At 35.5% G+C, this 13338-nt stretch overlaps 1 protein-coding gene and 1 long non-coding RNA gene across 4 annotated transcripts in view; one reads left to right on the top strand and one right to left on the bottom strand.

The window, feature by feature from the left end:
• LOC107984019 (uncharacterized) overlaps window positions 1-13338 on the top strand; it is a 49559-nt gene that overhangs the window by 23841 nt on the left and 12380 nt on the right. The gene's annotated exons all lie outside the window — the stretch shown is intronic.
• OR2D3 (olfactory receptor family 2 subfamily D member 3) lies at window positions 1637-2629 on the bottom strand. The gene has a single exon (NM_001004684.1). It carries the CDS (start codon window positions 2627-2629, stop codon window positions 1637-1639), a length of 993 nt encoding a protein of 330 aa, NP_001004684.1.

Below are 13338 nucleotides of genomic sequence, written 5' to 3'. Positions count from 1 at the left end.
CTAAAAATTTCTTATCCTTCTCTATATCACCTCAACTAACACATATCATTTGAATGAAGGTTTTTAGTGATTATCATACCCCAGATTAAAGTTTGCCTATTGTGGTACAGTTCCAGTAAATTTTAAAAAGATAGTAAAAAATGTGTATTAATATACGTTATGTCTCAGTCATTACTCTGAGTATACCAAATACACTCAGAGTTGGAGAAGATAAAATGAAGTAAGAGATCAATAGCTGGTTTAAAAATGGACACATGTATACATGAATTAAAGAAGAAAGAAATAAGTACAGCTATTGGATAGTTCTTCACTGGAGGGGACTTCTACACAGTCAATCTGAGGTCTGTGGTTTCTGGACCCCAAGTGCGTGATGGCTGTAGAATAGTTACCATGGAAAACCACCTCTAAACATGTGACTTAGAATCTCCTCTAAACATGTGAATGTTAGAAGTTTTAAGTGAAAGAGCGAAGAGGCTACCAGCCAGTTTATTTGTATTATGGGTTTGTGAGGAACTGAAGTAGACTCTGGAATTGACTATTTTAGAGAAGTTGGGCCACAGTGTGACATGGTGTGCAGGCATTGAAGCCTATGAAGGGGTCACCCCAAATTCTAATTTCTCTTTTATTTTTTAAAGAAATACTCTTTAGGTAAATTGGGCTCATTCAAAAGAGGATGACCAAGATAATACAGGGTACCAAAGCATATTAGATAAAGAAATTGTAAAGAAACTAGTGGGCAGTTGGCAGAGACAATTGAATTTGGGCAAATACAGAAATTGACCTCAGTATGTTCTAGTATTGAAGAATAATGACAATTGCTCTAGGACTAAAACTAGAGAAACTAGATTGAAGATACAGGAAAACTGATTTTGACTTATCATGAGGAAGATCTCTATAATAGTAAAAACTACCTTTATATGAAAGAGAGTGGCCCGAGTAAGGAGCTGTGTCATTCCTGGTTAGGCAAATGCTGAACAATTATTTGATGAGATATTATGAAATAATTTAAGCCTCAGATATGTGGTTGGATTATTTTACTATTGAATTCCCTTTTTACTCTGATAGTCTATGCTTACACGAAATTTGAGGTGATTATATAAAATTTTGGGGGGTTTTCAGGAGAGATCATGAAGAACTAGGAAGTATTATTTCCTCTGGTACCTTTTCACAAGCTGAAGTGCTCTAGGATCTAATGAACCCAGTATTAAAGACTCTTACAGATATTTTAATTGTTTTAATCAGAGCCTATTCTAAGGTTTGTATGCTGAAGACATACAAACTTGAGATATCTTTGATGTTAGAATTATGCTTGCAATTTGTATTAGCTGTTATTTCAGAATAATCTGGTTGAAACCTCCTAGATTCAATTGTGACTGTGCTTAAAACATGCCATGGCAGCTGAATTAACTACAAACTCCTCACAGTAGCACCCAACACCTTTTACAATCAAGAAATGACCTAACTTTTCATGCTTTTATTTTTTCCCTATGTTCTAGTTTAGATTGTAGTATTCACAGTTTTTAGAACATGTTCATTTTCACACTTCTTCCTGAAATAACCTAATTCATAATTGCCTACTAAAATCTTGCTCCTTTTTAAAGAATGTTGCCATAGCTCTAAAAGTCAGACTCAGAGGTCACTGCCTATGAGAGAAGCACTTTCTCCCAACTAGTTTCCTGAGAGCCCCTTTGACATCTTTGTTCCTCAAGCTATAAATTATGGGGTTCAACATTGGAGTCACCGCTGTATAGAACACAGATATCATTTTATCCAGTTCTTTTGTAGTCTTGGAGTTTGGTCGCATGTAGGTGAATATTCCTGACCCATAGAAGAGGACAACAACAATAAGATGGGAGCCACAGGTGGAAAAAGCCTTGAGTCTCCCTTCCCCAGACTGCATCTGGATAACAGTGGAGATAATATTCCAATAAGAACCAAGAATCAGGGAGACAGGGGCCAGGAGGATTACCACGCCCATTGAAAAGATGGCCATTTCTGTGCTGTAAGTGTCTATGGAAGCCAGCTTCAGGAGGGCAGGAGGTTCACAAAAGTAGTGATTGATTATATTCTGTCCCCAGTAGGGAAGATGGAAAGTAAAGCTGGTATCTACTAAAGACACTAGTGCCCCACTGGCCCAGGACCTGAAGGACAGCCAGAGACACACCCGTTGTGTCATGATGGTAGAGTAGTACAGGGGCTTGCAGACAGCCACATACCGGTCATAGGACATCACTGCCAGCAGCGCACACTCTGTACACCCAACCAGAAGAAAGACAATTATCTGTGTCATACACCCATAAAAAGAAATGGTTTTCCTCTTTACCAAGAAGTGAACCAACACTTGAGGGACAATGCTAGTAGAGAAACAGAGATCTGCAAAGGAGAGATTTCTAAGAAAAAAATACATGGGAGTGTGAAGGCGAGAATCCAGGAAGATGAGAATGATGATGAGCTGGTTTCCAAGCACGGTCAGCAGATAAATGATGAGGAAAAGGATAAATAGCAGGATCTGGGTCTGCAAGTCCTGTGAAAGACCCAGGAAGATAAACTTGGACACAAAGGTTTGGTTTTCTTCTCCCATTGATATTTTTGCCTGTTTACCTGTTTGGCACAAGAAAAAAGAACACATTTTTTTGGGTCTGTGACATCAAGTCTTGTAGAAGAGGGTCATGTTAAAACTGACACCTAGTTGAGTATTTCTAGCTCTTTGCTATCTAGCTTGTTCTAATTAACAATAAATATATATATTTATTATTATTAGTTGGTTGCAATTTAAACCAACTTAGTTATTTTCCAAGTCCTCTCTCCACAGTGCCGCTTTTTAATAGATAAAGTATGATACTGTGAAAGCCCTCTTGGCTAGTTCTGATGTAAGGATGTTAGAGTTCATGTGGATTTTACTAACTGGCTATAAATATACTGTTAGGAAATGACTGTATATACTGTTAGGACTATCCTTATGCAGAAAACTCTACCACTAACTATTTAAAATACGACATATTTAATTATAACACATACTTCAAAACTGTGAAGCAGTTTTCAGGAATCAAACTTAATTTGACCTATTAAGAAGCAACAGACTTTTGCTGGATTTAAAAGTAAAGCCTTAGCTATACTACACTAAAGGCCAAACTATTTGGATTAAGAAATAAGATATTAAAATTAAAGCAATACAAAAAGAAAAAATAAGTTAAAATTGTTGTGATACTTGGATAGGACCAGACTTGAAAAACACAAATACTTTCTAAGAAACCATGGAGAAAAATATATGCAGAATTTGCCACACAAATGGAAAGACTTCTGTGAGATAATAGTATCATAAGATAAGCCACAAACTGAGAAAAATATTGGAGAGAGGTATCAGAAAAAAAATTTAAATAATTTTATTTTTCTTCAACTTTTATTTCAGAATTAAGGTACACATGCAGGTTTGTTACAAAGTTTGGAGTACAAATGCTAAGGTTTGGTGTACAAATCAATCTGCCACCCAAGTAGTGAGCATAGTACCCAAGAAGTAGTTTTTCAGCCGTTTACCCCCTTACTCTCCCCACTCTAGTCATCCCCAGAGTCTGTCGTTCCCATCTTTATGTCAATGTGTACCCAATGTTTAGCTCCCACTTACAAGTAAGAACATGTGATATTTGGTTTCCTGTTCCTGCATTAGTTCGCTTAGGATAATGGCTTTGAGCTGCATTCATGTTGCTGTGAAGAACATGATTTCATTCTTTTTCATGGCTGCATAATATTCCATTGTGTATATGTTCCACATTTTCTTTATCCAGTCCACCACTGATGGGCACCTGGGTTGATTCCATGTCTTTTTTATTGTGAATAGTGCTGTGATGAACATATAATTGTGTGTGTCTTTTTGGTGGAATGATTTATTTTCCTTTGGGTGTATATACAGCAGTGGGATTGTTGGATCAAATATTACTTTAATTCTTAGTTCCTTGAGAAGTCCCTAAACTGCTCTCCACAGTGGCTGCACTAATTTACCTTCTACTAACAGCGTATTAGTGTTCCCTTTTTTCTGCAGCCTCACCATCATATGTTATTTCTTGACTTTTTGATGAAAGCCATTCTGATTGGTGAAAGATGGTATATCAGTAACAGACCCACAGCCAACATCTTACTGAATGGGCAAAAGCTGGAACCATTCTGACTGAGAACTGGAACAAGACAAGGATACCCACTCTTACCACTCATATTCAATATAGTACTAGAAGAGAAAAAAATGAAAGGCATCCAAATAGGAAAAGAAGTCAAATTAAATGACCTGATTACATTAAGAGTTTGTAGAAAGCTATATGAAAATTGTGAAGTCCAAGAAATAATGGGCCAAAGATATGAACAGACTATTTAAAAGAAGAAATACAAATAGCTACTAAATATAAGAAAAATATTCAATATTATTATAACTCAATAATTAAAACAATGAAAGATAAATTTTCACTTGCGTAATTATCTAAGATTTTAACACCAAAACCTTAACAAAAAATAACTAGTATATTCATTAAGCATTGAACCCATAACAGCATTAATTTTAGGGTTTTATATTATTATATCTTCCCAATAACATTATGAGGTAAATTAAAATACTATTAATTTTGTCTTATAGATAAGGAAACTGAGGCACAGAAAGGTTAAGTTACTGTCCCCAAATTATACAATTAACAAGTATAGAATTAATTAGCTGTATAATGAAGGTACAAAAACAGGACACATTTGCAAAAGCAAGTGGTTAGGAAAATTTGTATTACTCTTTCTGGAAAGTAATTTTGCCAATTACAGTAAAAGTCTTAAATATTCATGTGTTTTGACCCAGTTCTGAATAGAATGTGGCAGGGAAAAATTTGCCCCATACTCAAAATTTAGTCTCAAAAATTTACTTATAGCATGTTTTCAAATATATGTAGCTGCAACAGTGAAAGGGGGCACAATATGGGCAAAATATCAACAATATAAGGGCACAGTATCTATTTATTTAGCTATAATTGGAGTTATCAAAATTAGTGAAACAGCCTATTCAAAGAACCACTTCTTCTCCTGCAATTATTTCTGAAATTCCACAGAGAATAACTTATATGTTCTTAGGAACATATCACTGTTAGCCCCAAAGTAATGTCTGTCATTTCTTTTTTTCCTTTTCTTTTTCTCTTTCTTTATTTTCTTTTTTTTTTTTTTTAGAGGCAGGGTCTTGCTCTGTCACCCAGGCTGGAGTGCAGCAGTGCTATTGTAGCTCACAACAGCCTCAAACTCCTGGGGTCAAGTCAACCTTCTACCTCAGCCTCCAGAATAGTTGGACCTGTCATTTTCTTTTTCCCCTTCTCTGGTGGTCTAGGTCTATATGATCACTACTATTTCCTTTGGATCCTACAGATAATGATTATTAATATCATTATCAATAATAATGAGAATCACCTCCCATTGGTACTTACCAAAAGTGGTTTTGCTATTGTCTTAGAGACCAATGCTAATATATGTTTTCAAAATGCACAGAAAAGACTAGAAGAAAAAAATTTCCAAAATGTTGAGAGTGGTTGACCCTGGGTACTGGAATTACGGGTAGGTTACTTTTATTCTTTTCTAATGTGTTGATACTTTAAAAAGCCCTACATTACCAATATAAGAAAAAAATAAAAATGGGAAAATTTAGTAGCACCTAATTGAGGATGCTCTAAAGTCACTTCTTTACTTCTGCTTGATAAGAAGTCTTGATAAAGTAACTGTTATAGGACTAGCCCTCTTGCAGAAAGCAAATATAAAACAAAATATGTGAAACAGCTATTTTCAGACCTTGAACAACAAACAGCCAACTCAGAAAATAATGCCATATAGCAAGGAAACAAACAAGGTAAGCCCTATGATCACACTAGCTTTATGCCTGGAGGCACTTTCAGGACTGTGGTCCACAGAGCGGGAGCCTAAGGAGAGCATGAGACCCTTGCTGAACTGATGAGACGGAGATCCATAATTGATAGCTTGAATTATGGAAGGGAATAGCAGAATGGAAGAAGCTGCAGATAGGGACTTCAGGAATCTCTCTGAGTCTTGGCTGAATATTAAACTATACATACGCAGGATAGAACTGCCAAGTCCCAAAACAGCAACTGCCAGAGGGCTCATGGAAGGCTACAAGATTTTGGAATTTCAGTCTGCCAGAGTAAAGAACCTTCACTGAAAACCCCTGGCACTAAGGTGATACCTCAGAGAGGGTAGGCAGTAAGAGAGGATCGTGATGAGTCAAGGATACATAATGTAACCCCTAGAATAACCATTAAAATATAAAATAAGAGTTATAGTTAAAAATAAAACTAAAAATAGAATAATTTTTAGGTACTCAAGAAGAAAGCAAGAAAGGAGGATAAAAGAACAAAGAATAGATAGGAATATTACAAAGCAAGTAAGATGGTAGACTTAAATTGTATCCATAATTATATGAAAAATAAATGGGCGGCTGGGTGCAGTGGCTCACGCCTGTAATCTCAGCACTTTGGGAGGCCAAGGCGGGCGGATCACGAGGTCAGGAGATCTAGATCATCCTGGCTAACATGGTGAAACCCCATCTCTACTAAAAAAAAAAAAAAATACAAAAAGCCGGGTGTGATGACGGGCGCCTGTAGTCCCAGCTACTGGGGAGGCTGAGGCAGGAGAATGGCATGAACCCGGTAGGCAGAACTTGCAGTGAGCCGAGAGCACGCCACTGCACTCCAACCTGGGTAACAGAGCGAGACTCCATCTCAAAAAAAAAAAAAAAAGAAAAAAAAAAAGAAAATAAAAATAAATGGACTAAACATTCTAATTAAAGGCAGTGATTGTCAGATTGGACAAAAAAGACGTAATGTGTTGTCTACAAGGGATTCATTTTTAAACATAAAAACAGTTGTGTGAAAATAAAAGGATGAAAAAGAATATACCACAAAAACACTAGTCATAGAAAAACTGGAATATATGAATATGAAGTATTACCAGAAACAAAGAAGGACATTTCATAATGATAAAAGTGTCATTCACCACAAAGACAAAACCATACTTAATATGAATGCACTTAATGAAACTTCAAAATGTACAAAGAAAAATTGATGTAACTGAAAGGATAATTAGCAAAAAAAACAGAGAAATATTTGAAGATTTCAACAGTCTTCCTGACAGAACAAATAGAAAATCCATGAGGATACAGAAGACTTGAACAACATGAACAACCAACTTAGCCTAAAGGACGTTTATAGATTACTCTACCCAATAAGTACAGCATATGTATTCTTTTCAAATGCAAAGGGAATGTTCACCAAAGTTAGACTATATATGCTAGACAGTAAATCAAGTCTCAATAACACGGGATTGAAATCACATAAGGCATATTTCCCTGACCATGACAGAATTACATTATAAACCAATAACAAAATCTAGAAAATCCCCAAGCATTTGGAAATTAATCAATACAATTGTAAATAACACATGAGTCAAAGAGGAAATCAAGTGAAATTTTAAACTGCATTATAATAAAAATAGCATTTTAACAAATTCAGAATTATTTTGAACTTTTAAGGAATGGTGATTACTATTTCATTTACTTCATTTGTAGAGAAAAAAGGAAAAGTCAATTTTTTAATGAAGTTGACATTAAATGAATACATATAAAATAGACGTAAAGTCAAAATAAAATGAAAGTGTATAGATAACAGCAGTATTCCATTGTAATAAAACATTGTGATCAAGTGAGCTTTTACCATAAGTGCTTATTTAGGCCAACATTAGTAAATTTATTGAAACAATTCTTCATATTAATAGATTAGAATGGGAAAAAATATCTTAGTAAATGCCTCAAAAGATACTTGATAAAGTTCATATTTCATTCTTGATAAGTAGTTTGAGTCAAACAGGAACTTAAGTATACTTTTTAAAGAAGAAATCTGAGTATTTCTTCTTTTGTATAATAGATATTTGAAACAAAATGCTAGCATTGTGCTTAATGGTGAAATACTAGAAATATTCACATTAAATTCTGAGTTACAAAAAAGGTGTCTGTTTATTTGCCAAGAGTTAGCTAATGAAATAAAAATTAGAAATATAAACTAGAAATGACAGGTATAATTATTGGAAAGGAGAGGGTAAATTTATCACTACTTGTAGGTTGATTTTCTGTTTGTAAATTTTTATATAATCTGAAAACTGGTTCTAATAAAAAATCTGTAAATAGGTAAGTTACATATATGTAACTATGTGCATGGTTTTCTTATATATTAATCAGAACTAATTATAAAATTAATTTTAAAAATATATAATTAATGGCCGGACACAGTGGCTCACGCCTGTAATCTCAGCACTTTGGGAGGCTGACTCAGGTGGATCACGAGGTCAGGAGTTCGAGACCAGCCCAGCCAATATGGTGAAACTCTGTCTCTACAAAAAGTAGCCGCACGTGGTGGCACATGCCTGTAGTCCCAGCTACTCAGGAGGCTGAGGCAGAAAAATCACTTGAACCCAGGAGGGAGAGGTTACAGTGAGCTGAGAGCACACCACCGCACTCCAGCCTGAGCAATAGAGTGAGACTCTGTCTCAAAAAAAATCTATATATAGACATATATATTTTGCCAAAATATGTAGGTGTGAATTTAACATGAATATGTTCAGAAAGAATACAGGAAAAGTCAACATGCATAAATAGAGAAATAAACCTAATTTCTAGATGTAAGATTTAAATATTGTAAAGATATCATTAACAAATTATTGATTCTCATATATTAACGTCCCTAATAATTCTCTCTGTGAGAGGTTGTTAAAAATAAAAGTTCCTGAGTTCTAGAGATTCTCAGTAGGTTTGTGGTTGAACAATTAAATTTGCCTTTTAACAAGTCAGTTTGGTGATTTTGATATGAGTATTCCATGAATCATATTTTGAGAAATATTCCCCAGTAATTATCTAAAAAATAACTGCGGTTATAATCAAAGCCAATAAACAATCTCTGATGGGAAACTTAACAAAATAATTTTAAAGTTTACCCAGATGAATACATGTAAAAATATTCAGAGAAAAAAATCTGAAAAATATGAAAAAGAATTGTGGTTATGGGGAGGGTGGGGAGATTTAACCTATCCAACCTTATGATTTACTATTAGGATAATTTATATGCATTGTACTAGTGCAGATATCAATGCCTCAATGGATTAAAATAGAGAAATGACTCAAACTCAAGTATATAGAGGAACAAATGATAAAGATGTCATCTAAATTGATAGAAGGGTGTATTATTTAAAATGGTGTTAGAATATCTGATTATTTGTTGAGAAAGAAAGTATTTTCACATCAGTTCTTCTCCAAAATCTAGATGGATTAAATATCTCAATATAAAACAAAAAAAATAAAAACACCCCCTAATATTGCTAGGAGAAATAATAGGTGAATATTTGCTGTAATCTTTGAGTGAGAAAGGACCTTCTAAGGACACCATGAAAACCATTTGTAAAATGAAAGTAAAACCACAACTTCATAATATGGATGTAAAGATTAAATTATTTTCTGTAATCTTTGAGTGGGAAAGGACCTTCTAAGGACATGATGAAAACCATAACCATTAACTTAAGATTGGTATATTTTATTATACAACTATTTTAAATGAATGGTTAAAGAACACATATATGTAAAATGTAAGTAACAAATAGAAAAACTACCACATCAAAGAGCCTTTAAAAATCAAGAATAGGAAGAACTTCTCAATGGAAAGGATGGAAAAAGAAATGTTAATGAGCAATTCATAAAAGAAATTCAAATACCCAAAAAGCTAACTATGTAAAGAATGTTCATCCTCACTCAGAATCAGAGAAATGTAAAATAAAACAAGTAGTTACTGTTTCTTTCTCATCATTTTAGAAAAGATGAAATAGATTGAAATCACCCACTATATTTTTGAGAGTAGAACAAACAGATACGAAAAATGTAGGCATGTACATTTATAAAATCTCTCTGCAAGTCAACTTGAAGATATTTAAAAATTATAAAATGAACTTTTCTTTTTTCCTGAACAGCTCAAGTTTTAGGACTTTATATTTTGGAAATAATTATAGGTATGCACAAAGCTTTGTTTCAGAGGATACTCACACCCAGAATTATTTCCAGACTAAATCAACCCACAGTCAAATAATAGGTGTTGCGTTAAATAAATTATAGTTTTCCTATATAATAGAACCTATGCAGTATAGAGAAGTGGGTAAGAGTGCAGACGTCTTAGTCACACATACCTGGTTGAATCTTTGTTCCCTATTTCCTAGCTCTGTAACTTTAGACAATTTAACTCCTTTTTGTCTGTTTCCTAATTTGTAAAATGAACATAAAACCACAACTTCATAATATAGATGTAAAGACTAAATTAAGAACTTAGTGGAAAATTTGCATTATGCCTAGAAACTGCAGTAAAGAAATGACTGCAATGTTGATGGTTATTATTATGATGATAATATGATAAATTTTATCATTAAAAATTTAAGTAGATATGTATTTCCCATGGAAAGATGTTTGACATACTGTTGAATTTAAAAAGTAGGTTACAAAATTGCGTGTATGGGTATGATTTATATATATGGTGCGTGCGTGTGTGTGTGTGTGTGTAGAGAAAGAGAATGAGAGCGTGTGTGTGAGAGATGACTGTTAAAAAAATACCTTTACCACACTAATAATTCTTAACACACAATAACAACTTAGAATTCAGGTAGAGTATATAGGGAATGGTTATCTATATCTCAAAGACAGGATGTGAGTGTATATGTGGATTAGGAAGAATGTGGCTTAATCTCAAAACAGGAAAGGAGTCAAATAAATCAAAAGGACTAAGATGAAATTTAGTCTCATATTCCAAGGAAGACCAGGGATAATTATACTTTCACACTCTGAAGATTTCATGTAACTTTGTAAACTTTCCTAATTAATTCAACAAAGGTATCTCTTTATCTAATGCAGAGAGAAAATGAAGAAGAAAAAATAACTGGTAAAAATAGAATAAAGAGAATAGACTTTAGAAGAAATCAGGGAGGGGAAGCTGAACACAGAAGTCAGGAATTCAGAGGTGTAGAGAGAAGGCAGAAAGAGGAAAAGGAGTACAGAAAGAGAGATGGAAGACAGGTTGTTTCCCCAAACTGAAAGGACAAGAAATGAATCTGTTATCTCTCTGAGGCCCTAACAACATTTTAATTAATATGTCCTTGCCAGATATCTTCTCTTAAGAGTCTCACACAGGCACAGAGCTGCACACAAGGGAATTCTTCCTTGTCACACACACACATCCCAAGCCACATGGACTTCCTCTCAGCTTTACAAACTTAATATCTCATAGAACATGCAGATATTCAAGATACGCTCACACAATTATTTTATATTCTTTTTATGCATCCCCATGGCTACCAAATCTTCCACATAATAAACAGTATCAGAGGAGGTACTGAGCCAACTGGATACTGACCAAGGCTGAGTCACGTGGGAACTTATTCTGTCTGACTTGTATGGGAAGCATATTTGCTTATTGCGTATATGTGTGATGGCACCTGTAGTGGGTATCCTTACTCATTCTGGGAGGGCAGCACTGATTGTAATTGGACCTACTCTCCTCTATGTGCCTTAGATCACCAGGGGATTGGAGCCAGCAGTGCCAGCATTCTTACAACAGTGTATTCATGCAATCTTGGTTCTTTCATATCTCTTAGACCCAGAGCATGACCAAGCTCTTGATGAAGCTTCTGAAAGCACGATTCCTAGTGTCCTTCCAGCTCTTTGCCTATTTAGTGGGCCATACACTAGGGAAGATGGTGGAACAAATGCAAACTGAGGGAGACAATGAAGACGGAAGGGCTGACAGCCGAGGGCAGGGGAGAATCAGGCAGAGGTACTTTTCAACAGTAAGAGGAAAGTAATGTAGGAGGGTACAGCCTCTGTGATCTCTCTGAAAACAGTCTTATCCATGAAGGAGAAGATCTGGAGGAGGGTTTTCAGGCTGGGATTCTGGAGGAGAAGAGTAGGAATTGAATTGTCTCTGGGAATCTAGCAAGGGAAAAATTGATGTGTAAGCGATAAAATGACAAAGTTCACCTTCCCAATACCTTGCCCGCTTCCAACCCCCAATCAGTATTGGAGAATCCTACAGTTTGAGGCCTATCAGTGGCTTCTTCTCTCTCACCTGAGGGCAGAGACAAAACAGGAACAGCACTGTGAGGTCACTGGTGAAGGAACCAAGGATCTAGTACGGAAGGGAGCAACTTCTGTGTCTGCAGATCCACACTTCAAGGACATTCACCTGTTTGTAGGTTGGCTCCTGAGCAATTCCTCCCAAGGCCTGTACTAGCGTCATCCTAGGAGTCTGACTTCATTCCAAGCCTTTTTACTTTGCTCAAGGTACAAATTCTAATTTACCTAGGTTACACTTCTGAACAACGTATTTTTCTTTGAGAAAATAATTAAAAGTGAGGTCCTGAGAATTACGTCAAGAGGGCATTCCCTGGAGCTTTTAAAACCCTCAACTTTATTACCTTTTTTCATCCTCTGAGACACCCTGGGGGGGCACTTTGCATTATGTTTGAAACCACAGACTAAAGTTTCTAAATCATACTTAGGCTTCTTCCAAACCTTACACCATTGTCATTTAAAATGGCATCAACAGATATATTCTCAGGGGTTCATAAGTTTTCAAACTTGTGTCTTTCTTTATATGGTAATTAAATAAAAATGAAAATGAGGAGGTATTGGATCACCTGGATGCTGACTTTCTAATTGACTAATCCAACTTGATTTCAGGCCTGTGCTTTCATTTCAGTTCATGATTGTTTGAGTGCTGTGTGACCACCTTACATAGTGGAGTATAATTTGCTTAGCACCGTCCTAATATAAACATGACAATGAAGGCTTTAAATGTGTGGTTTTTTAAATTTTATTATTATTATACTTTAAGTTTTAGGGTACATGTGCACAATGTGCAGGTTTGTTACATATGTATACATGTGCCATGTTGGTGTGCTGCACCCATTAACTGGTCATTTAGCATTAGGTATATCTCCTAATGCTATCCCTCCCCCTGCCCCACCCCACAACAGTCCCTGGTGTGTGATGTTCCCCTTCCTGTGTCCATGTGTTCTCATTGTTCAATTCCCACCTATGAGTGAGAACATGCGGTGTTTGGTTTTTTGTCCTTGTGATAGTTTGCTGAGAATGATGGTTTCCAGCTTCATCCATGTCCCTACAAAGGACATGAACTCATCCTTTTTTATGGCTGCATAGTATTCCATGGTGTATATGTGCCACATTTTCTTAATCCAGTCTATCATTGTTGGACATTTGGGTTGGTTCCAAGTCTTTGC

The sequence above is a fragment of the Homo sapiens genome, chromosome 11 (assembly GCF_000001405.40).
Source record: "Homo sapiens chromosome 11, GRCh38.p14 Primary Assembly".
Lineage (NCBI taxonomy): Eukaryota > Metazoa > Chordata > Mammalia > Primates > Hominidae > Homo > Homo sapiens.
Note: the sequence above shows the minus strand (reverse complement) of the source record. Positions and strands in the feature narration are given on the sequence as shown.